This window comes from Homo sapiens, chromosome 9 (assembly GCF_000001405.40).
Source record: "Homo sapiens chromosome 9, GRCh38.p14 Primary Assembly".
NCBI classification, from domain to species: Eukaryota; Metazoa; Chordata; class Mammalia; order Primates; family Hominidae; genus Homo; species Homo sapiens.
The window spans coordinates 35,587,538-35,610,592 of record NC_000009.12 but is presented as its reverse complement, the minus strand read 5'-3'; the positions used below and the strand labels follow the sequence as shown (position 1 = coordinate 35,610,592).

Here is a 23,055-nt window from a genome sequence, read left to right as displayed (position 1 = left end):
AGGGATGGGGCTGAGGCATGGGGAGTCCAGGGGCAGAGGGACTCAGAGCAGGGACTCAGAGCAGGGGCCCAGGGGCCCGAGAGAAAACTTGTACCTGGGATGAAAGTTCCTCCACAGCCTCCAGTTGCTTGGTCTGCTTGTTAGGGTGGGGTGGGCAGGGAGGGACAGGTAAGGCCTACAACTTATGGGAGGCTGGTGGTGTGGCTGTCGAGAGCTGAGGAGGAGATGGGGTGAGTGGGATGAGGGTTCAGTTAAGTCAACCATGGAGCTCACTGATACTTTACTTTTCCAGACACTCATGCCAACAAGAACCTGTGCCCCTCCTTCCTAACCTGAGGCCTGGGGTTCCTCAGACCATCTCCTTCATTCTGGGCAGTGCCCAGCCACCGGCTGACCCACACCTGACACTTCCAGCCAGTCTGCTGCCTGCTCCCTCTTCCTGAAACTGGACTGTTCCTGGGAAAAGGGTGAAGCCACCTCTAGAAGGGACTTTGGCCTCCCCCCAAGAACTTCCCATGGTAGAATGGGGTGGGGGAGGAGGGCGCACGGGCTGAGCGGATAGGGGCGGCCCGGAGCCAGCCAGGCAGTTTTATTGAAATCTTTTTAAATAATTGCACGTGTTAGTCTCATGTGTCAGCAATGCTGTGTCTGGTTCAGTGATCCCCACGGGAACGCGAGCCGGGGGGTCGACTGGAAGTGCTCTGTCCCTTGAGTCCATGCTGGGGCTCCCCTACACGGGGAGAAGAGCCGGTCAGCCCATCTGGAACTGGCACTGTCCAGCAAGTGTGCTCTGTTCTTACAGGGTGTCCTGAAGGCCAAAGTTGGAGGCCTGAGACCACGGGCTCCACTGCTAAGAGCGTGCCCCAGGCAGCTGCAGGCTGGGTGTGGGTGGCTTGGCGTGGTGCCCTCGGTGGCAGAGGAGACTGCCCGCCTCACAGTTCAGGTTGCGGTAGCGGGCAACAGCTGGTGTGGGGCGGGGGCACATGGACAGGAAGCCAAAGCTGAAGGGGCCGAGGCAGCAGCCAGGACAGGGCAGCCCCTCATCGGGCTCCCGGGGAGCTGAAGGGGGTGGCGAGGGTTCTGTCCGCTCCAGGGCTGCCGCCCGGGGCAGGCTATGCTGGGCCCGGTTCCAGGGCTCCCCAGCCCAGCCTTGTGGGGAGTTCACCACCACAGCTGGGGGATTGTTATTGAGGACGGGTCCTGATCTAGGGGACCAGGGTTGGGAGGCCGAGGAACAGGTGCTGATGAAGTTGTCTGTGGCCACAGCCAGAGGCAGCTGGGGCGCTGGCCCTGGAGGTTCCGGCTCAGGGCTGCTGCCCTCGCACTCCATCTTCTCTTCAGCCGAGGGGCCCACAGCGGGAGGGCCAGGACCTGGCAGTGCTGTCTCCATACGGCGGGGGAGCTCGGGGGATGAGGGTAGTGAGCGGCAGCGGCGGGCAGGTGTCCCAGGCTGGACCAGGGTCTCCGGAGTGGTCACCAAGGGCAGCTGAGTGGATGGGAATGGTGATGGTGGCACAAGAGGCAGGACTGGCTTGCTGGGTGTGTCTAAGAGCTTGATCTTGCCACCCCTGAGGTCTTCCCGTAGTGAGAAGGGGTTGACTCGAGTCAGATTGTCCCCCCAGTTGGGGGGTGATTCTGGTGATGGGGGCAGGAAGAGGTCTGACCGGCTTCGGGAAAGCCGGGGATCTGGCCTGGGAAGCGTGGCAGAGGGACCCCCTCTTGCAACAGAGCCTGTAGATAGAGAAGTCTGGAATCACTGTCCTCAGCATTTGATCACAGCTCCTTGAGGGCCTCACTATTCTCCAGGAGGCTGGTGGGACTAGAGCTTGAAAAAGGGAGTCCCACCTGGTGCTTTGGAAAGGGGTGATGTCATCTCCAGGCCCCTTTTACTTCTTTCCCCTCCTCTCCCTCAAGCTTTAGCATTAGGAAACTGTCTTCTTGGAGATGTCCTCCCACCCTACCCCAGCCCGACCCCCAGCCTTTTCAACTAATAAATATACTTAGCCTCCCCCATGTCACCTCTGAATTCTAGGGAGGACAAAGGCCAAAGGACTCAAGCTGGATCAAGGTCAGGCTCCCTTACCCTGATTGTGTGTCAGGGCGGTCCTGGTGAGTGGGGCTGGCTCAGGCAGCTGCTCCAGGATCCATTCCAGGTGCTGGGTAATTTCGGTGAAGGGGGCACGGGTGCTGGGTTCCAGCTGATGGGTAGAGACAGGAACGGCTTCACTCAGTGCTCCGAAAGAGGGTCTCTGAGTTTCCTCCCATCACCTGGGTCCCACAGGGCAGCCATGGCAGCTTACGGATGGGGGCAGGGTGGGGCAGGAAGGAGTGTGAGGCTCTTACGTTGCAGCAGTGGATGGCCAGGAGCAAGAAAGGCAGTGGGCAGTCATCCCCCACCAGAGTTCGGAAAGCAGGCACATCCAGGCCAAAGTCCTGTGGGGACAGAAGGAGGGACCTCCAAGTCAGCTTTTCTTGGGTTCTCCTTCTGCTCCCCAGTCAGAACCTCAACCTCTAGGGAATCCTCCTTGGTTATGAGCCAGCTAGTCTGGAATTCTTTCTTTGCAAACCTAGAAACATTCACCTCAGTGCGTGGTAGGTAGTCAGGGTCTGCAGGTACTCGGGCGATGAGCTCACAGAGGACAATCCCGAAGGCAAAGACATCAGCCTGGGGGTCAGAGATAATAGTGTCGGGGAAGAATTAACAGTTTTCATTTCAGAATTTTGACAGAATATAGCAGAATTTGGTTGAGGGTGGGGGATCTTGACAGTTTTCATGTGTTAGAAGGGTGCCTGTGAGGGGCAAAGGGATCTTGGGGACTCCTGAAGATCTGGTAGGGTTGTTTTGGGGATGGATGGGGCTTTATGAGAATACCTCAAGGGTCTCGGAAGGCCTTGGGGATCTGAAGGGTTGATGTCTCACCTTCTCATCATACAGCTCACCCCGTAACACCTCTGGAGCCATCCAGTATGGGGAGCCCACCACGGCCAATGGCTCCTTCCTTGCCCCCTCCCTGCAGGGGCAGGGGCAGAGTGGTCAGAAGCATCCTATTCAGGCATCCCCCCCAGGCAAAAGGGGATGAGGTGAACTCCCTCCGTTCCCCAAGGGAAACATCCCTGGGGCTCTGGGGACATCAGATAGGGGCACTCTGGGAGATTTGGGGGGAACAGGGACATTCATCTCACCTATACACAGGAATCTTTTCGGCCAGCCCGAAGTCACCCACGACAGCGGTGAAGCCTCGATCTTCCCGTCGGACTAGACAGTTCTGACACACACACACATAGTATCCCCACGCACTCATCACCTTCTGCTGTCTGGCCTCCCAATGTATAACCCAAAGCCCTGTCACTCCAGCATAACTCCAACCCTCTCTGCTCTCCCAGTTTTTCAAGGCACTTCAATATTGCAACATCATCCAACACTCCAAACACAGGGTGCTACTCAGTCCCTCCGAGCACTCCCCTCACCCTGGTCCCCCAATATTCTCCAATGCCTTGCCACTCCAACATCCTAATATATCTGTTATCCATATTCCAACATCCACAGGCCAGTTACAACCTAATAGCCTCAAACCCTCTTTCATGTCTCCACCCACCCTGCTAGCCTACCTTGGATGTGAGGTCGCGGTGAAATACACCTTTGGAGTGCAGGTACCGCAGGCCTCGGGCAATGTCCAGGGCCAGGTGGAGCCTGACCGGCCAGGACAGGGGTTCAGGGGAGCTGAGCAGCTGTTCCAATGTCCCCCCATTCATATACTGGTGCATAGGAGGAGAATGGGAATAGATGTCAGACTTCAGTCTGTATTCTAGGTCCCCCACTTACACGCTAGGGGACACTCCCGAGGATCACAGAGGTCATAGGGGTAAGACTGTGCTGTAGGACCCCCCCCATCCATGTTCTAGGATTGCCCCGTTCAACTCAATAGCCATTAGCCATGTGCAACAATTTAAATAATTTAAAAAATTTTTTAATCAAGTTGACCCACAAAAAATAATCTAAACAATGAAAATAATTTAAATTTAACCACATGTGGCTAGTGGCTACTGTATTGGACAGCACAGATAGAGAACATTTCCGTCACTGAAGAAAATTCTATTGGACAGCACTGTTCTAGGGGATACAGAGAATAAGACCAGTTGAGGCCTTTTATATGTGGTTTGCCTAAAGGAAAGTTCAGGAAAGCCTCCCCTGAGAGGAGATCCTGTTGCCTCTCACTAGTCCTCCGTAGATCCACCAGGCCTGTTGACTCCCTTTATCCTTGGGGGTGAAGGGGGGTGGGGATCCCTCCTTCCTGGCCTATCCTCACCTCTGTAAGAGCGTGCAGCTGTCCCTGGTGCACACAGACTCCCATGAACCTGCAAGAGGATGGGGAAGATAGAAGGATAGGCTATTAAAGGCCTCAGCTCCTCCTCAGTTCCACTTTTCCCGCGGGATCTTTCCCTTTCTCTCCCGCCCAGCAAGCTGCCCAGAGACTGGGGCCGCTCACCTTAGGATGTTGGGGTGCCTGAGCCGGTTCATCAGCTGCACTTCCCGTAGTGTGTTGCCCCGGTTACTGGGGAGCTTGTTCATCTTCAGCACCATGACTTGCCCTGACTGTCGGTGCCGAACCTGGGGGCAGGAGCAGCCGGCGAGGGCCGGGCAGGTCGGGCGGGTCGCCGGAGTCTGGACCCTCTTCCCCGCACTCCCGGCCCCCTAGTTTCAGCCTCTGGTTGAAGGCTCGGTCCCGCCCCTCTGCCCTCTCGGCCGGTCCTACCTTGTAGACCTCAGAGAAGAAGCCGGCCCCGATCTTCTCCGCGCAGTGAAAATCGTCCACACGCGCCAGGCTAGACACGGCGCTGCGGAGAGCCCGGTAGGAGGAGGGGCGGCCCCGGCCCGGGCCTCCGCCCGTGCCCCCCGGCCCCGGGGGCCCCTCCCCCGGCACCTCTCCAGGCCCGGGCCCAGGGCCCCGCAGTGGGGGCCGTTCCCCGGCCATGGCCGGGCCCCCAGCCCGGGCCTGCCTCACATGGCAGGGTCCCCAGGGCCCGGGCAGGCCGCGCTTGCCATGGGCGCGGGCCCAGCCCGATCCCGGGCGCCCGGACTCCGGCTCCCGCCCTGAGAATGGAAGATCCGCCGAAGATCCTGGACCCGCCCCCGCCGCGCCGGCTGGCTGGGCCCGGGTGGACGCCGCGCCGCTCCGCTCCGCGCAGGGCCTGGGCTTGGGCCTGGACCGGGCGGTGGCGGTGACGGTGGCGGCAGCGCTCCGGGGCGCCGGCGGGCTGGCTTGCCGCGGGCGGAGGCGGGCGGGCGGGCGGGCGGCGGCTGCTCCGCTTAGCCGCCGGGGATCAGGCTCCGCGGCCTGCCGGGGGCGGGGCTGGGCCGGGCCTCCGCTTAACTCCTTCCAGCCCGGCCTCCCGGCAGCGGCCACGCCCCCTCAGGTGCGCACCCCCGCCTCCCCGCTTTCCGGCCGCGATGCCCTGGGCCGCCCGGGTCAAATAAGCTCCGGCCTGAGCTTGAATAACGGGAGGGAATTAAGGGCTGATGGTGCGCATGCGAAGCTTAGCTGCCCAGGGAGTCCCCTCTCCTCCCTGGGTTACTGTCCGTTGAGGGTCGGGCTCAGAAACCTGCCGGATTCCTGGGCTCCAGGGACCAACGGGGCAGAAAGGTAGGCCCCTCAGGCCCAGCCGCAATCAGAGGTAGCCTAGCAACCTGTCCACCTTCCTGGCCTGCGCCCCGGCCCAGCCTGCCCATTTCCCAGGTCTCTTCGACTCCGACACCTTGAACCTCTGGCCTCCCTAACACCTTCTACCTTCACGGGAGGTTGTGATACCCCGGGGCTATAGGAAGCCTTTGGCCGGCCCATACCCAGCTTAGCCCCGACTCCTCCTCACTTCATCCTGCCGCCTCCCAATAAAGAAGAGAGTCCAGGTCCTCCGCCCTGTGACCACCCAGCCGGGACCTCCCTCTTACTACTTTGCCCAAAAGACTCTAAGAGAGAAGCCTCCACCTGCAGGGAAGCCCGTCCTTCCGCAAGATCCCACCCCCCTCAAAGAACGCTGTCCCTCGGAGACCCCTCCCTTCCTCAGTGAGACACCTCCCTTTCGGGGGCACTTTTCCCCAGTGTGGCACTGCCACCGTCAGTGTGTCAGAACCCCTCAGTGCTGCACCCCCTTGCTCTGTGTTCCTCCCACGCAGTGAGACCCCACCTCCGAGGAAATCCACTAGTCATTGTGACCCCTCCTCTCAAGGTGACTCCTCCCCTCAGTGTGACCCAGCCCTCCTCAGTGTGAGGGTTCCGCCCTCCACGTAGGAACACGGTCTGCCCCCTAAGGCCGGAGGAGGGGCTGCAACTGGCCTCTTTAAGTCGGCGCGGTGCCTGGGTGCGCACGCAGTCTCAGGACTCCGTGCACTCGCCGTACCAGACGCTTCCGGTTCTGCCGCTGGTTCCTCCTCCGGCCTCGGCGAAATAGCCAATCATCGCTAGGGTTGGGTGGTGACACGCGATCCCGGCGGTCCACTCCGGGGCAAACGGTTTAAAAGGGCGTCGTTGAGCCGCCTGCCACCTAGCGGCGGAACGGTGGGCGGAGGGAGAGAAAGCTGCCGTCTCGAGTGCGGAGGCAGGCTGAGAGCTCCTCGAGGAAGCGAGGCTGAGTCCTGCAGGAATTCTCAAGTACTGTATTGATATTTCTGTAGTAAGCTTAAAAGAGAATTAATACAAGCACAGTCCGTATCGCGTGGGGTTACCGTCTTCCAATGGAGTCTGGTTACACGTTTATGAGACTTGGAGCCAAGAAATACTACTCGCTTGTCGAGGGCTACTGAGAAAAGAATAAAGACGGTCATAAATGATACATGATGCCTTAGAGTCAAGAGAAGGCCAGATGCTGTCTTGGTGCGCTGTACAAGGGAAGGTATTGCACAAGTTTGGAGCGAGAGGAATGGGAGACATTCGCAATCCTTCCACAGCCGGTGGAGGCAGGCCAACCTCACAGAATTGCACGGGGCACGTGCATCCTGTTCTTTTTTCTGGAGGCGTTTGGTCTTCAGCACACGCTCATTCATCACATTAATGTTAACATCTACAACTAATTTGTGAATTTGCTTTTTATTGTATGACATCTGTAAACACTAGGAATTTATGCCTCATTTTGTTTAATATCATAGATCTTTTAACCGACACTGGGTTCTGGCCCTTTATCACGTTTGAGAATTACTGTAGTAGTTGGTGATGGTAATGCCAAGCCAAAGAGCCAGGTGCCTATTTTTTGTAAGATGATTGCGGTGGTTGTATGGAGGCCGGGAGACTGATTAGGAAGGAGGCTGTGACTGTGGTTCAATCAGGAAAGGATGAGACCAGCCTGGCCAACGTAGTGAAACCCCGTCTCTACTAAAAATACAAAAAAATTAGCCTGATGTGGCGAGCGCCTGTAATTCCAGCTACTCTGGAATCTGAGGCAGGTGAATCGCTTGAACCCGGGAGGCGGAGGTTGCAGTGAGCCAAGATCGCGCCATTACACTCCTGTCTAGGCGACAAGAGCGGGACTCTGTCTCAAAAAAACCTTTTGTTGTTGTTTGTATGGTGGAAAATGTCTTAACACACACACACAGAATAGAAAAATGAATGTTTATTTACCTTGGATTAGTAAGACCATTTTGTTGGAAACCCATAGTGCAAAATTGGCTTTCCTTTGCCTCAGTTGTACTGTTGCCATATTTGACCTGGCCCAGGTGAAAGTACCTACTTTCATTTACCCTTCTATGTCAGTGATTCTCCAATGAGCAATTCATGGCCAATCTTGTTTCATCTATACCCGTGCCCTCTTCCCCACTCCATATTTGTGTATATTTCTGACATATCATTTCATCCTGTAAATGTTTCAGTACGTTATCTCTAAATGATAAGGATTCTTCTTTAAAACCAAATCACAGTATTGTCACACCAAAAAAAAACAATAGTTCCTTCATGTCATCAAGCATCCAGTTGTTTACATTTCCCTCACTGTCTTACGTTTGATTTTTAAAAATTGTTTATTTGAATCAAAATCTAAATTAGGTCTGTACTTTGCAGGTGATATGTCTGTCTGTCTGTCTCTCTTTTTGTGAGACAGGGTCTGGCTCTATCACCCAGGATGGAGTGCAGTGGGTTGATCTCGGCTCACAGCAACCTCCACCCCCGAGGCTCAAGCAATCCTGCCTCAGCCTTCTGAGTGGCTGGGACTACTGAGGTGTGGGTACCACCACACCTGTCTAATTTTTGTATTTTTGTAGAGATGGGGTTTGCCACGTTGCCCAGGCTGGTCTCAACTCCTGGGCTCAAGCATTCCATTCGCCTTGGCCTCCCAAAGTGCTGGGATTATAGGTGTGAGCCACCACACCCAGCCATATGTTTCTTAAGTCTTTGCAGATCTATGCTTATTCTCCATCTTTTTTCTTACTATTTTTTAAAACTGGTTCATTTGTCCTGTAGAGTTTCTTAGAGTCTTGATTTCTGTGGTAATTTAGCATGTTCCTCCATCCTCTGTATTTGATATAAATTGGTAACTTAATCAAATTTAGATTTCTTTTGGCAAAACTAATTTGTAGATGGTTTTAGCACTTCTATCAGGAGGTATACAGGAGGTATACAGTGGTGGTCTTTTTGTGATTTTAATAACTGATATTTGTTTCTCAACCGTGGCACTATTGACATTTTGGGCTGGAAAATTCTTTATTGTAGGGGCTGTCCTGTGTATTGTAGGATGCTTAGCAGCATCTCTGGCCTCTACCTAATGGATGCCAGTAGCACCTCCTCCTGACTGTAACAATAAAAAAATGTGTCTAGACATTGCCATTTGTCCTCTGGGGGACAAAATTGACCCTGAATAAGAACCACTGGTCTAGGTTCATTAATAGAGGAGTTAAAGCTGGGCATGGTGGCACGCGACTATAGTCCCAACTACATGGGAAGTTGAGCCGAGAGGGTTGCTTGAGCCCAGGAGTTCGAGTCCAGCCTGGGCATCATAGCAAGACCCTGTCTCAAAATAAATAAAAAGTTAGAAAATAATATTATCATTCCTTCTTTGAATGAATTCCTATAGAAGTATTAGGTAGAATAATTCTATAAGGAGAAACTTTTCCACATTAACTATTTGTTACACAGAGATACATTTCCTAGGAAAGGCAGAATAAATACTTGATTGTTTCTCACTTATTTTACCAGCTTTCAAAGTAATGAGTTGGTTCCCCAGCATCTTCCAAAGTTGACCGATGAGGTTTTTTTTAAAGTACCATTATGAACTCATAATTTAACACATATGTGATATACTCAATTATTGCTAGTTATCTTTTTTTTCTTTTTGAGACGGGTCTCACTCTTTTTCAGGCTGGAGTGCAGTGGCACAAAGCTCACTGCAACCTTGACCTCCCGGGCTCAAGTGATTCTCTCATCTCAGCCTCCCAAGTAACTGGGACTACAAGCACGTGCCATCACACCTGGCTAATTTTTAATTTTTTTGTAGAGACAGGGTCTCACCATGTTTTGCCCAGGCTGGTCTCAAACTCCTGGCCTCAAGTGATCCTCCTGCCTTGGCCTCCCAAAGTGCTGGGATTACAGACATGAGCCACTGCACCCAGCCCAGTTATTGATTGATTGATTGATTGAGATGGAGTCTTGCTCTGTCACCCAGGCTAGAGTGCAGTGGTGTGATCTCGGCTCACTGCAAACTCCGCTTCCCAGGTTCAAGCGATTCCCCTGTCTCAGCCTCCTGAGTAGCTGGGATTACAGACACCTGTCACCACGCCCGGCTGATTTTTGTATTTTTAGTAGAGACAGAGTTTCACCATGTTGGCCAGGCTGGTCTCAAACTCCTGACCTCAGGTGATCCTCCTGCCTTGGCCTCCCAAAGTGCTGGGATTACAGGCGTGAGCCACTGCGCCCAGTTATCATTTTTGGTGCTTGTCCTATTGTTACGGGATCTTTGGGGCGTCCTTTTTCTGGCCAGAAACCTCTGTGGCTGGTGGTGCTTTTGCCCCAGTTTTGCTCAGGCCCTCTGGGCTTGTTTCGCCTACCCAGCCTGGCAGCCTGTGCTTGGCTCACGCTACCAGCCTGGGTCCCATGCCTGCCAAGGGTGAGACAGGCGTGGAACAGTTAGGGGTATGTGAGTGAGCATTGGGTCCAGCCACTGTGCACAGTCAGACATTCCGGGTGCTGCAGTGGGGCGGGCAGTTCCAGGTGCCAGCATGGCACCATTTCCCTGCAAGCCTGCGGCCGGACCAGGCACATGGCAAGCAGCTTCCACAGCTGGCACTGGGGGACACATTGGTGCCTGGAAGCTTGGAGATGCCAGGAACAGCAGGTCCTCAAAGAGGAAGTCACAGCCCTGGCTTGGGGAGCTCCCAGGGCTAGGCTCCCCGAAGGGCTGCAGTTCTTCTTTCCTTGCCTTCACCCACAACGTGGCAAGCAAGGGTCATGTCTCACCCCCGTTTGTTACAGCTCTTTTAGCCTCACCATTTGGTGGGTCCTGAGTTCTTGTCCTGCGACAGGAAGAATGAGGTACGCAGACAAGTGAAGAGTGAGCAAGACAAAGAGTAGCTTTATTGAGCAATAGAACAGCTCAAAAGAAACCTGCAGGGGGCAGCTCCTTTCCCTAGCAGGGGTGTCCTGAGGCATGTTCAGCTCCTAGCAGAGAGGGTAGCTCCTCTCTGCTAGGCAAGTCGTCCTGACAAGTGTTCAGCTATCAGCAGGGAGGGTAGCGTCTCTCTGCAGCTGGTTGTCCTGTCATCTGTGCAGCTCTCAGCAGAGGGGAGGCCCTAGAGTGGGTGGCTTCTCTCTGCAGGTATGTCATCCTGTAGTCTCTGCAGCTCTCAGCAGAGAGGAGGCCCCAAAGTTGGTTGCTCCTCTCTGCAGCTGGTTGTCCCAACATCTGCGGCTCTCACAGAGAGGAGGCCTTGGTGTGGGTAGCTCCTCTCTGCAGCTGATTGTCCTGACGTCTGCTCAGAGCCTGGGCTTTTATGGGCCTTAGAGGGGAGGAAGTGCATGCCAGTTGGTCCTGGGCAGCCATGGGTGGGCCTGGAAGTGTCACCACAAGTTCCCACTCCCATAGTGTGATGGGCAGCCCGGTCCCCAGCCTTCAGGCCCTCCCTGGCCTGAAAGTGGGGCCTTACCAGGGACCTGCCCCATCCGCTCAGAAGCCTGTCTGCCTCCTGCTGCCATTCATGGTGCCCAGGCTGTAGGTGCCAAGAGGCGCCTGCAGGCCAGTGCTGAGCTGCCTTCAGACCCCACTTGGCTTCCCTCCTATGCTCATTGGCACCCAAAATCTGTAGGGGACCAAAGCAGCAGGGGACTGGTGTGTCAGCACTGCTCCGAGTATGTGCACACTCGGCCAGGCTGTGACAGTGCCCAGGCTCTGCTCGGACTTTGTTCTGAGATTGGAGTGGGCACCAACAGCAGGAAGAAGCCAGGCAGTTGGAGCAGGAATTTCTGAGCCTGTGAGGCCTTCTGGGGCCCCAAGAGGGCAGGGATTCCTGAGTCTGCAGCCACTCTTTGAGTGGCTGCACCTACACCTGGCAGGGGCGGGGCTCCTGCCTGCTCTGCTGAGCAGGAGGCCTGAGTCTGCAGCTGTGGTTTGGGTGGCTGCAGCTGCGCCTGGAAAGGTAGGGCTCCTGTCTGCTCCCGGTCCTGAAAGCACAGGGATGCCTGGGTCCACAGCCGTGGCTTGGGCGGCTGCAGCAGCACCCAGGGAGCTCCCACCCCAACTTGGAAGGGACAAGGATCCCGCTTGTCCCCAGCTCCTGTTGGCTCCATGGAATGTGCAGCCCTGGCCATGCCTCCCTGCTGCAGCTGGCATGATGGCAGCAGCCACTGCAGACAGCCTGCTGCTGCCATCACTATTTTGTTCCCACTGGCCAAAACTGTCCTATTTTGGCCAGTGGGAACTTATTCAAGTTAGTTCCTGAGTCCTTCTGACATAAATTTCCAGTTTTCTTGCTATCCAATATGATAAAATGTTCTGGACTCATTTTGTGCATATCTAGACCAGAGCTGGTATCAGCTACTTTTTTTCCCCAGTGATTCATGGTCTTTTTTAGTGGGAAATGGTGTTTGGATACCACAACCTGGGTATTAGAGGAATATAAAGTTATTGACCTTAAAAGCAGTTAAATGAATGTGGTTGATTACTCATTATTCTCAAAATAGTATCCCCATGTTGGGCATGGGGGCTCATGCCTGTAATCCCAGCACTTTGGGAGGCTGAGGCAGGAGGATCACTTGAGCCCAGGAGTTTGAGACAAAGCTGAGCAATGAAGTGAGGCCCCCTGTCTACAAAACATCAAAAAATTAGCCAGGAGTGGTGGTGCATGCCTGTGGTCCCAGCTACATGGGAGGCTGGGGTAGGAGGAATCCTTGAGCCCAAGAGGTTGAAGCTGCAGTAAGCCATAATGCTGCCACTGCACTCCAGCCCAGGCGACAGAGCAAGACCCTGTCTCAAACCCTCAAAAACAGTCACCCTAATCTCTTTATTATGAAAAAATTCAAACATGCAGAAAAGTTGAAGGAATGCATAATGAACACCTGTACATCATTCATGTAAATCCAACAATTGTTAACATTTTGTCCTATTAGTTCTCTCTAATATAGAATAGGTATAACATATAATAGTAATAATACAATATAATTTTTTTTTTTTTTGAGACAGAGTCTTGCTCCGTTGCCCAGGCTGGAATGCAGTGGCATGATCTTGGCTTACCACAACCTCTGCCTCCTGGGTTCAAGTGATTCTCCTGCCTCAGCCTCCTGAGTAGCTGGGACTACAGGCGCTTGCCACCATGCCCGACTAGTTTTTGTATATTTACTAGAGATGGAGTTTCACTATGTTGGCCAGGCTGGTCTCAAACTCCTGACCTCGTGATCTGCCCGTCTCAGCCTCCCAAAGTGTTGGGATTACAGGTGTGAGTCACCGCACCCGGCCTATAATATAAATCTTATTGTAGCATTTGAAAATATGTCGAGGCCAGGTGCGGTGGCCCATGCCTGTAATCCCAGTTACTCCGGAGGCTGAGGCAGGGAATTGCTTGAGCCCGGGAGGCAGAGGTTGCAGTGAGCCGAGATTGTGCCACTGCACTCCAGCCTGGGCAATAGAGCAAGACTCCGTCTCAAAAAAAAAAAAAAAAAGTATGTTGAAGGTGTCATCCTCATTTCAAAATCATTAGCAGTGTCTCCTAAGGTCATTTTCTATGAAAACATAATACCGTATCTTGAATCACTTTCTTCATTTGGTTTCTTGATTCTCCTCATATTTCACTGGCTCCTTCTCCCAGGTCTCTTTTGCTGGTTCTTCTTCAGCTTCCTGACCTCTAAACAGTGGAATACACAGGGCTCTGTCATTGGATCTCTTCTCTTCTCCCTCTACATACACATTGTGGGTCATTTCATTAACTCTAAGGCCTTAAATGCTATCTACTTGCTGATGACTTCCGTTTTCTCTCCCTTGCCCAAACCTTTCCTCTGAACTCTAGATTCCTATGTTCAGTTGCTTACTCATCATTTTCTTTTTTTCTTTTCTTTTTTTTTGAGATGGAGTCTTGCTGTGTTGCCCAGGCTGGAGTACAGTGATGTGACCTCGGCTTGCTGCAACCTCCACCTCCTGGGTTCAAGTGATTTTCCTGCCTCAGCCTCCTGAGTAGCTGGGATTACAGGGGCTTGCCACCATGCCTGGCTAATTTTTTTTTTTAATTGTTAGTAGAGACGGGCTTTCACCATGTTGGCCAGGCTGGTTTTGAACTCCTGACCTCAAGTGATCTGCCTGCCTCAGCTTCCCAAGGTGCTAGGATTACAGGCATTAGCCACTGCTCCTGGCCATCATTTTCACTTGGATATATCTAATTGGCTTTTCAAAATCAATGGGTACAAAAAATAATTTTCTTTTTTTACATTTTCGGAGATGGTCTTACTTTGTTGTCCAGGCTGGAGTGCAGTGGTACAATCACAGCTCACTGCAGCCATGCCCTCTTGGGCTCAAGCAATTCTCCCACCTTAACCTCCCAATAGGTGGGACTACATGCATGTGCCATCATGCCTGGCTAATTTTTAAATTTTTGGTAGAGACAGGGTCTCCCTATATTGCCCAGGTAGGTTCTAAACTCCTGGGCTCAAGCCACCCTCCTGCCTTGGCCTCCCAAAGTGCTGGGATTATAAGCATGAGCCATTGCACCTAGCCCAAAACAGAACTCTCGATTCCTGCCCCTCTTCTCCACCTTTTTCTCTCTCTTCCCTATCTCAATAAATCCAATGCAGCGGCCAGGCATGGTGCCTCATGCCTGTAACTCCAGCACTTTGGGAGGCCGATGTGGGAGGATCACCTGAGGTCAGGAGTTCGAGACTAGCCTGGCCACAGTGGCAAAACCCCGTCTTTATTAAAAATACAAAAAATTAGCCGGGTGTGGTGGTGGGCACCTGTAATCCCAGCTACTCAGGAGGTTGAAGCAGGAGAATCGCTTGAACCTGGGAGGCAGAGGTTGCAGTGAGCCGAGATTGCGCCATTGCACTCCAGCCTGGGTAATAAGAGTGAAACTCTGCCTCAAAAAAACAAAACAATAAATAAATAAATCCAATGTATTAGATGCTCAGGCAAGAAAATTCAGAATTATCCTTGACTCTTTTCTTTCTACCCCATAGCCAGCCCATCAGCAAAGCATATAGCTGTACCTTTGGAATCTATGCATAACCTGACTACTTCTGACATTTCCACTACCTCTGACCCAATCTAAGCCATCAGGTCTTTTGCCTGGATTGTTGCAGTAGCCTCCTTTTTGGTCTTCCTGTTTATGCCTTTGCCCCCATTCAGCCTATTCTCTATACAGCAGTCAGAATACTCTTTTAAACATGTAAGTCAGATCATTTTACCTCTGCTCAAAACCCTCTGCCATCACAGAATCAAACGTAACATCTTTCCTGTAATTTTATTTCTTTCATTCTCATTTTTATACCTTTAATTTCCATTTCCTTGCCTAAGATCTTCAATACAATTTTGAGTGAATGTGACAATAGATACTCTTATCTTGTTATATTTTGAGACAGGGTCTTGCTCTGTCACCCAGGCTGGAGTACATTGGCATGATCTCAGCTCACTGCAACCTCCACTTCCCAGGCTCAAGTAATCCTTCCACATTAGCCTTTCAAGTAGCTGGGACTACAGGTGTGTACCACAGGCCTGGCTATTTTTTTTTTTTTTTTTTTTTTTGCCAGAGAGAGGGTTTTACTGTTTTGCTCAGGCTAGTCTTGAACTCTTGGGCTCAAGTGATCCACCTGCCTTAGCCTCCCAAAGTGCTGGGATTACAGGCATGAGCCACTGTGCCCAGCCAAATAATGTTTTTAATGGTTTACTATTAAGTATGATGTTTACTGTTTCTTGGTCACTACCTATGCCAATTAACTGTTACCACAAGAATGCCACATAACTAACCATATCAAAACTCAGTTGGCTGGGCGCAACGGCTCATGCCTGTAATCCCAGCACTTTGGGAGGCCAAGGCCAGTGGATCACTTGAGTTCAGGAGTTCAAGACCAGCCTGGCCAACATGGTGAAACCCTCTCTCTAATACAAACAACAACAACAACAAAAAAAAAAAACCCCAAAAATTAGCTGGGTGTGGTGGTGCATACCTGTAATCCCAGCTGCTCGGGAGGCAGAATGCTCAGGAGAATCACCTGAATCTGGGAGGTAGAGGTTGCAGTGGGCCGAGATCATGCCACTGCATTCCAGCCTGGGTGACAGAATGAGACTCCATTTCAAAAACAAAACAAAACAAACTCAGTAACATGAAACAACAATCATTTATTCTTATAAATCTGCGGATTGACTGGAGTTGGCATTCTAAATGAGAATTGGCTAGAGAGGTTTTGCTCTGCTCCACCTGTCTGTCATACTCCTCCTGGCACCAGCAGGATAGCCGGGAATGATCTTACGGTGATAGAAGAAGGGAAAGAAGATAAGCACAGTTGTGCAACTGCTTTTCATGTTTTTGGGTCACATCATGCCTGCCACCATTGCAATGATCAAAGGAAGTCATGTGGCCAAGCCCGAAATACACTCTTTCTATAAAGGTTGGAAGGGAGAAAATATTTCTAAACTATGGTACATTACATTTTCTCAATTTACATCTTTTTATGTTGCCTATATTTCTAAACTATGGTATATCACATTTTCTCAATTTACATCTTTTTATGTTGCCTATCTCTTAACAGGTTACTGTAGTTATTATTTTGGATAGATTTGTCTTTTAGTCTTCCCACTTAGAGGTATGAATGGATCATACATCACAATTATGAATTATGATATTAACTTTTTTTTTTTTTTTAGACAGAATCTTACTCTGTTGCCCAGGCTGGAGTGCAGTGGCGCAATCTTGGCTCACTGCAACCTCCCCTCCTGGGTTCAAGCGATTCTCCTGCTTCAGCCTCCCAAGTAGCTGGGATTACAGGTGCATGCCACCACGCCCAGCTAAGTTTTGTATTTTTAGTAGAGGCAGGGTTTCACCGTGTTGGCCAGGCTTGTCTCGAACTTCTGGACTCAAGTGATCCACCCACCTCGGCCTCTCAAAGTGCTGGGATTACAGGCGTGAGCCACCCTGCCTGGCCACAATATTAAACTATTCTGAATGTATCTATGTACTTACTTTTACCAGTGGGTTTTTTGCCTTCAAATGTTTTCTTTTTTCATGTTAGTATCCTTTTCTTTTAGATTGAAGAATTCTCTTTAGCATTTCTTGTAAGATGGAACTAATAGTGATGAATTCTCTCAGCTTTTATCTCTCATATCTGAAGGAAAGTTTTGCTGGGCATAGTATTCTTGGTTGACAGTTTTTTTTGTTTTTTTTTTTTTTCCTTCAGCACTCTGAATGTGTTATCCCACTCCCTCCTGGCTTGTGTGGTTTCCTCTATGCACCTGGGTATATCTTTCTCTAGGTTTGGCAAGTTTTGTGTTATCATTTCTTTGAATAAGGTTTGTACCCCTTGTTCTTTTTAAACTCCCTTTTGAACACCAATGACTCTGAGATTTGCACTTTTGAGGTTATTCCTTATATTTTGTAGGTGTTCATTGTTCCTTTTCATGCTTTTTTCTTTTTTCTGTTCTGTGTATTTTCAAATAGCATGTCTTCAAGCTCAATTATTTTTTTCCTCTGCTTATCCATTCTGCTGTGGAGAACCTCTAATGCATCTTTCAGTTCAGCAGATATATTGGTCAGTTCCAGGATTTCTGTTTAATTTTTTTTTTTGAGACAGTTTTGCTCTTTTTGCCTAGATTGGAGTGCAGTGGTGTGATCTTGGCTCACTGCAACCTCCACCTCCCAGGTTCAAGTAATTCTTTTGCCTCAGCCTCCCAAATAGCTGGGATTACAGGCATCTGCCACCATGCCCGGCTAATTTTTTTGTATTTAGTAGACATGGGGTTTCACCATGTTGGTCAGGGTGGTCTCCAATTCTTGACCTCAGGTGATCCACCCGCCTTGGCCTCCCAAAGTGCTGGGATTACAGGTGTGAGCTACTGCACCCAGCCTCTGTTTAATATATTAAAAAGTATTTTTTGTTGTTGTTTTTTTCAAATCTTTATTTTATGTACAAAGAACTATCATGGTCTTTCATTGAGCAGATGCCTTGGATAATCCTTTGAAGGAAGATAATTTAGTCCAACTTAATGAAACCGATATCCTTCGTGTACTGACGGAAACACTGGCGGCACATATTGAGGCCCTATTTCCAGATCAGACCGTGCCGGTTTGAACAGACGCGACAAGAGGGAGAACCCTGGCCGAATTTTCGCAGGTGGCTCCAGTACAACTGCTGGTGACCCATCTTGCTCTCAGGAGTGCAACGAGGTAAAAGGTTAAAAAGTCTTTCTAAGTTTCTCTGATACATTTCTGAATTGTTCTTCTGTGTTATCTCAGAGTTCACTGAGTTTCCTTAAAACTGCTATTTTTAATTCTTGATCTAAGAGTTCAACATTGCTGTCTCCTTAGGGTTGGTCACTGGCTCCTTTCTTTGTTTGGGGAGCTAGGGTTTCCCTGTTGGCTGTTGTTTTTTTTGTGGATGTACATCTATGGCTTTGCATTAATAGATTGTTATTTATTCTAGTCTTCACTGGCTGACTTGTTTAGGTCTTTCTAGGGTATGTTTGCTTAGAGGTTCTTTGCAGTTGCCCAGTGAGTCCCCTTATTCCTAGATCACCATCTCCTTTTTGGTAATAGATGGTGCCTTAAGCCCAGGTTTGCCTTGGCTCTTGCAAACATTCAGAGCACTGCCCGTCTCAAATGGGGTTGTAGGGGGAGGTCCCAAAGGGAATGTGGGGAGGCTGGCTAGGCGTTTGTGACCGGAAAACCTGTGGAGTATTTCTCTTAACAGTGTGGAGCTATTGAGAAGTCACTTTAATTTGGCATCTCCTTTGGCTGAGATGAAGAACAGAGTTACATGGGCTAGGGTTGCTAGTCCTGTCTCCTCTCTTTGTTTCTAGCTGTTCTTGGGGATTTTTTCTTCTACAGGCACTTGTGATGCCTCCTGTGGGTTGAAGCAGGAATGGTTTTCCTGCAAGGGAATGCAAGATGATGGGAAAGCTGGTTGTCTACCTCAGTCTCACATTTTCTGGTGTAGAAACTGTGAACCCAGGAGCAATTTTCCATGTGTGGTGCCTGGAAAACTGAGTGAGGGTTGTCACAGATAGAGAAGTCTGTTTCTCTATCTGCTCAAAGTTTTTCCACTTCTGTGTCCCTGGGGATTGTCTCAGCCTCATATTTGAGTTCTGGGATATTGCTGATGATAATTTTGGTCCTGGATATTTGTTTTTGGTTTTCTGTGGGAGGGAGTGAAGCCAGATTACTTCTACTCTGCTATTTTGGTGGCATCAGTCTTCTACATTAATTAATTTTCTGTTAAACCAACATTGCATTTATAGGATAAATATATTGTTATATATATTTAATAACTTTCTTAGTGGTTGCTGTAGGGATTACAATAATAATCACTGGGTGGGGTAGCTTATGCCTATAATCCCAGCACTTTGGGAGGCTCAGGTGGGAGGACTGCTTGAGCCCTGGAGTTCAAGACTGACCTGGGCAGTGAGAGTGGGACCCCCAACTCTATAAAACTTAAAAAAAATTAGCCAGGTGTGGTTGCATGCACCTGTAGTCCCAGCTCCTCAGGAGTTTGAGGTCGGAGGATTGCTGGAGCCCAGGAATTTTAGGCTGCAGTGAGTTATGATCCTGCCACTGCACTCCAGTTTAGGTAACAAAGCGAGACCCTGTCTCTAAAAACAAAAAAAGAATATATAAATAAAAATTAAAAGCAATCAGTCAGACAGTTGAATTACAAAGTTTTTTTTTTTTTTTTTTTTTTTTTTTTTTTTTTTTTTGTCGAAATGGGGTTGTTCTATGTTTCCCAGGCTGGTCTTGAACTCCTGGGCTCAAATGGTCCACCTGCCTCAGCCTCCCAAAATGCTGGAATTACAGGCATGAGCCACTGCACCTGGCCAAAGATAAGATGTTGAAAGTAGCAAAAGAATAATGACTTATGATGTACAGGGGAACAACAATATGATTAATGGCTGACTTCTTAGGCCAGAAGGCATGTATGTTTAACTTTTTGAATGAATACCAAACTCCTTTTTTGTTCACTTAGTTTCAATTTCTGTTGTTTATTTTTATTTTTTTTATTTCAGTAGGTTTTTGGGGAACAGGTGGTTTTTTTTTTTTGTTAGGTGGATAAGTTCTTTAGTGGTGATTTCTGAGATTTTGGTGCACTCATCACCTGAGCAGTGTACACTGTATCCAATGTGTAGTCTTTTATCCCTTGACACCCCGTACCCTTTCCCTTGAGTCCCCAAAGTCCAAGGTATCATTCTTATGCCTTTGCGTCCTCGTTGTTTAGCTCCCACATGTAAGTGAGAACATACGATGTTTGGTTTTTCATTCCCGAGTTACTTCACTTAAAATAATAGTCTTCATTTCCATCCGGGTTGCTGTGAATGGCATTATTTCATTTCTTTTAATGGCTGAGTAGCATTCCATGGTGTATATATATATGTATATATATATATATACACACACACATACATATGTAGACACATGTGTATGTATATATATACACATACATATATAGACATGTATGTATACACATATATACATACACATATACATATATATACACGTATATATAGGGGTGTGTGTATATATATATATATACACACACACACACACACACATTTTCTTTACTGGTTGATTGATGGGCATTCAGGCTGGTTCCATATTTTTGCAATTGCAAATTGTGCTGCTAAAAATGCCTGTGCAAGTATCTTTTTCGTATAATGACTTATTTTCCTCTGAGTAGATACCTAGTAATGGGATTGCTGGATTAAATGGTAGTTCTACTTTTAGTTCTATAAGGAATCTCCACACTGTTTTCCACACTAGTACAACTAGTGGTTGTACTAGTTTACATTCCCACCAACAGTGTAAAAGTGTTCTCATTTCACTGCATCCACGCCGACGTCTAATTATTATTATTATTATTATTATTATTATTATTATTATTATTTTGAGATGGAGTTTTGCTCTTGTCACCCAGGCTGGAGTGCAATGGCATGATCTTGGCTCACTGCACCCTCCGCCACCTGGGTCCAAGTGATATCTCCTGCCTTAGGCTCCTGAGTAGCTGGGATTACAGGTGCCCACCACCACGTCCAGCTAATTTTTGTATTTTTAGTAGAGACGGGGTTTCACCATGTTGGCCAGGCTGGTCTCAAACTTCGGACCTCAGGTGATCCACTCACCTCGGCCTCCCAAAGTGCTGGGATTACAGGTGTGAGCCACCACACCCAGCCCACATCTGTTATTTTTTGATTTTTTAATTATGGCCATTCTCGCAGGAGTGAGGTGGTATTGCACTGTGGTTTCAATTTACATTTCCCTGATACTTAATGGTGTTGAGCATTTTTCCCTATGCTTGTTTGCCATTTGTATGTCTTCTTTTGAGAACTGTCTATTCATGTTCTTAGCCCACTTTTTGATGGGATTGTTTTTCACTTTTCTTTTCTTTTTTTTTTTTTTTTTTTTGAGACGAAGTCTTGCTCTGTCACCCAGGCTGGAGTGCAGCAGCACAATCGGCTCACTGCAATCTCTGCCTCCTCAGTTCAAGCCATTCTCCTGCCTCAGCCTCCCCAGTAGCTGGGATTACAGGTGCGCACACCACTAGGCCCAGATAATTTTTGTGTTTTAGTAGAGACGGGGTTTCACCATGTTGGCCACGCTGGTCTCAAAGTCCTGACCTTGTGATCTGCCCGCCTTGGCCTCCCAAAGTGCTGGGATTATAGGTGTGAGCCACCGTGCCCGACCCTGGGATTGTTTTTTGTTTTTTTTTTTTTCTTGATGATTTGTTTGGGTTCTTTGTAGATTCTGGATATTAGTCCTGTGTCAGATGTATAGATTGTGAAAAATTTTTCCCACTCTGTGGGTTGTCTGTTAACTCTGCTGATTATTTCTTTTGCTGTGCGGAAGCTTTTTAGTTTAATTAAGTCCTATCTATTTATCTTTATTTTTGTTACATTTGCTTTTGGGTTCTTGGCCATGAAGTCTTTGCCTAAGCTAATGTCTAGAAGGGTTTTTCTGATGTTATCTTCTAGAATCTTTATGGTTTCAGGTCTTAGATTTGTCTTTTATCCATCTTAAGTTTTTTGTATAATGCGATTTTTGTATAACGTGAGAGATGAGAATCTGGTTTTATTCTTCTACAGTTGGCTTGCCAACTATCTCGGCATCATTTGTTGAATAGGGTGTCCTTTCCCCACTTGATATTTTTTGTTTGCTTTGTCAAAGATCAGTTGGCTGTATTTGGCTTTATTTCTGGGTTCTCTATTCAGTTCCATTGGTCTGTGTGCCTATTTTTTTTTGAGACGGAGTTTTTGCTCTTGTTGCCCAGACTGGATTGCAGTGGCACAATCTTGGCTCACTGCGACCTCCGCCTCCCAGGTTCAAGTGATTCTCCTGCCTCAGCCACCCAAGTAGCTGGGATTAAAGGCACCTGCCACCACACCTGGCTAATTTTTTGTATTTTTAGTGGAGAGGGGGCTTCTCTATGTTGGCCAGACTGGTCTTGAACTCCTGACCTCAGGTGATCCACCCGCCTTGGCCTCCCAAAGTGCTGGGATTAGAAGCATGAGCTACTACGCCTGGCCATATGTGCCTATTTTTATACCAGTATCATACTGTTTTGGTGACTATGGCCTTATAGTATATTTTGAAGTCAGGTAATGTGATATCTCCAGATTTTTTTTTTTTTTTTTTTTTTTGCTTAATCTTGCTTTGGCTATGCAGGCTCTTTTTTGGTTCTGTATGAATTTTAGGATTTTTTTTTTCTAGCTCTGTGAAGAATGATGGTGGTGTTTTGATGGGAATTGCATTGAATTTGTAGATTGCATTTAGCAGTATGGTCATTTTCACAATATTGATTCTACCCATCCATGAGCATGGGATGTGTTTCCATGTTTTTGTGTTATCTATGATTTCTTTCAGCAGTGTTTTGTAGTTTTCCTTGTAGAGGTCTTTCACCTTCTTTGTTAGGTATATTTATAAATATTTTATTTTTTTTGCAGCTATTGTGAAAGGGGTTGAGTTTTTTATTTTATTCTCAGCTTGGTCACTGTTGGTGTATAGCAGAGCTACTCATTTGTGTACATCAATTTTGTATCCTGAAACTTCACTGAATTCAAATTTTGTATGAATCTTTAGGGTTTTCTAGGTATACGATCATATCATCAGTAACAGAGACACTTTGACTTCCTCTTTACTAATTTGGATGCCTTTTCTTTCTTTCTCTTTTCTGATTGCTCTGGCTAGCACTTCCAGAACTATGTTGAATAGAAGTTGTGAAAGTGGGCATCCTTGTCTTGTTCTAGTTCTAAGGTGGAACGCTTTCAACTTTTCCCCATTCAGTGTAATGTTGGTTGTGGGTTTGTTGTAGATGGCTTTTATTACCTTAAGGTATGTCCCTTCTGTGCCAGTTTTGCCGAGGGTTTTAATCATAAAGGGATGCTGGATTTTGTCAAATGCTTTTTCTG

At 48.7% G+C, this 23,055-nt stretch overlaps 2 protein-coding genes, 1 non-coding gene and 1 pseudogene across 7 annotated transcripts in view, besides 11 other annotated features; 1 reads left to right on the top strand and 3 right to left on the bottom strand.

Annotated features, from left to right (window-relative positions):
- CD72 (CD72 molecule) overlaps window positions 1-611 on the top strand; it is a 36,876-nt gene extending 36,265 nt beyond the window's left edge. For all 4 annotated transcript variants that reach the window (XM_047424154.1, XM_047424155.1, XM_006716893.3 and 1 more), the window contains one exon: window positions 293-611. In XM_047424154.1, coding sequence (XP_047280110.1) covers window positions 293-443 — 151 coding nt within the window. In that variant the 3' untranslated portion in view covers window positions 444-611. The remainder of the gene's footprint in view (window positions 1-292) is intronic.
- Window positions 560-5,331, bottom strand: TESK1 (testis associated actin remodelling kinase 1). 2 transcript variants are annotated; one of them, NM_006285.3, is made up of 10 exons: window positions 4,755-5,331; window positions 4,488-4,609; window positions 4,308-4,356; window positions 3,610-3,756; window positions 3,184-3,266; window positions 2,921-3,011; window positions 2,582-2,665; window positions 2,344-2,433; window positions 2,084-2,198; window positions 560-1,731 (listed from the first exon to the last, which is right to left on the bottom strand). In NM_006285.3, exons 1-10 carry the CDS (start codon window positions 4,971-4,973, stop codon window positions 851-853), a joined length of 1,881 nt encoding a protein of 626 aa, NP_006276.2. In that variant the 5' UTR covers window positions 4,974-5,331; the 3' UTR covers window positions 560-850. The 2 variants fall into 2 exon arrangements, with proteins under 2 accessions (NP_006276.2, NP_001305159.1); NM_001318230.2 differs by lacking the exon at window positions 3,184-3,266.
- MIR4667 (microRNA 4667) lies at window positions 2,434-2,499 on the bottom strand. The gene has a single exon (NR_039813.2). It is a non-coding gene; the product is annotated as a microRNA 4667 (primary transcript).
- Window positions 4,466-4,725: a silencer, noted in NCBI's record as "silent region_19869". NCBI's record gives its function as "represses an Ori minimal core promoter by ATAC-STARR-seq in GM12878 lymphoblastoid cells {active_cell/tissue: GM12878}" and the evidence as "EXISTENCE:reporter gene assay evidence [ECO:0000049][PMID:35858748]".
- Window positions 4,466-4,905: a biological region, named in NCBI's record as "Sharpr-MPRA regulatory region 203".
- Window positions 4,507-4,801: a silencer, noted in NCBI's record as "tiled region #203; HepG2 Repressive non-DNase unmatched - State 2:TssF, and K562 Repressive non-DNase unmatched - State 2:TssF". NCBI's record gives its function as "represses a minimal TATA promoter and a strong SV40 promoter by Sharpr-MPRA in HepG2 and K562 cells {active_cell/tissue: HepG2 | K562}" and the evidence as "EXISTENCE:reporter gene assay evidence [ECO:0000049][PMID:27701403]".
- Window positions 4,736-4,905: a silencer, noted in NCBI's record as "silent region_19868". NCBI's record gives its function as "represses an Ori minimal core promoter by ATAC-STARR-seq in GM12878 lymphoblastoid cells {active_cell/tissue: GM12878}" and the evidence as "EXISTENCE:reporter gene assay evidence [ECO:0000049][PMID:35858748]".
- Window positions 4,926-5,225: a silencer, noted in NCBI's record as "silent region_19867". NCBI's record gives its function as "represses an Ori minimal core promoter by ATAC-STARR-seq in GM12878 lymphoblastoid cells {active_cell/tissue: GM12878}" and the evidence as "EXISTENCE:reporter gene assay evidence [ECO:0000049][PMID:35858748]".
- Window positions 5,256-5,505: a silencer, noted in NCBI's record as "silent region_19866". NCBI's record gives its function as "represses an Ori minimal core promoter by ATAC-STARR-seq in GM12878 lymphoblastoid cells {active_cell/tissue: GM12878}" and the evidence as "EXISTENCE:reporter gene assay evidence [ECO:0000049][PMID:35858748]".
- Window positions 5,986-6,095: an enhancer, noted in NCBI's record as "active region_28326". NCBI's record gives its function as "activates an Ori minimal core promoter by ATAC-STARR-seq in GM12878 lymphoblastoid cells {active_cell/tissue: GM12878}" and the evidence as "EXISTENCE:reporter gene assay evidence [ECO:0000049][PMID:35858748]".
- Window positions 10,598-10,717: a silencer, noted in NCBI's record as "silent region_19865". NCBI's record gives its function as "represses an Ori minimal core promoter by ATAC-STARR-seq in GM12878 lymphoblastoid cells {active_cell/tissue: GM12878}" and the evidence as "EXISTENCE:reporter gene assay evidence [ECO:0000049][PMID:35858748]".
- Window positions 10,907-11,547: an enhancer, noted in NCBI's record as "H3K27ac-H3K4me1 hESC enhancer chr9:35599043-35599683 (GRCh37/hg19 assembly coordinates)". NCBI's record gives its function as "activates a minimal SCP1, AML or CMV promoter by ChIP-STARR-seq in naive H9 embryonic stem cells {active_cell/tissue: H9 hESC(naive)}" and the evidence as "EXISTENCE:reporter gene assay evidence [ECO:0000049][PMID:30033119]".
- Window positions 10,907-11,581: a biological region, named in NCBI's record as "Sharpr-MPRA regulatory region 2201".
- Window positions 11,287-11,581: a silencer, noted in NCBI's record as "tiled region #2201; K562 Repressive non-DNase unmatched - State 24:Quies". NCBI's record gives its function as "represses a minimal TATA promoter and a strong SV40 promoter by Sharpr-MPRA in K562 cells {active_cell/tissue: K562}" and the evidence as "EXISTENCE:reporter gene assay evidence [ECO:0000049][PMID:27701403]".
- Window positions 17,549-17,838, bottom strand: RPS29P17 (ribosomal protein S29 pseudogene 17; annotated as a pseudogene).

Excerpts from the sequence above, each read along its gene's own strand:
- TESK1 (NM_006285.3), bottom strand. The coding sequence starts at position 4,973 with ATGGCCGGGGAACGGCCCCCACTGCGGGGCCCTGGGCCCGGGCCTGGA. Across the intron at positions 4,610-4,754 it reads TCTTCTCTGAGGTCTACAAG|GTTCGGCACCGACAGTCAGG; the intron begins GTAGGACCGGCC and ends TCCTGCCCCCAG. Across the intron at positions 4,357-4,487 it reads AGGCACCCCAACATCCTAAG|GTTCATGGGAGTCTGTGTGC; the intron begins GTGAGCGGCCCC and ends ATCCTCTTGCAG.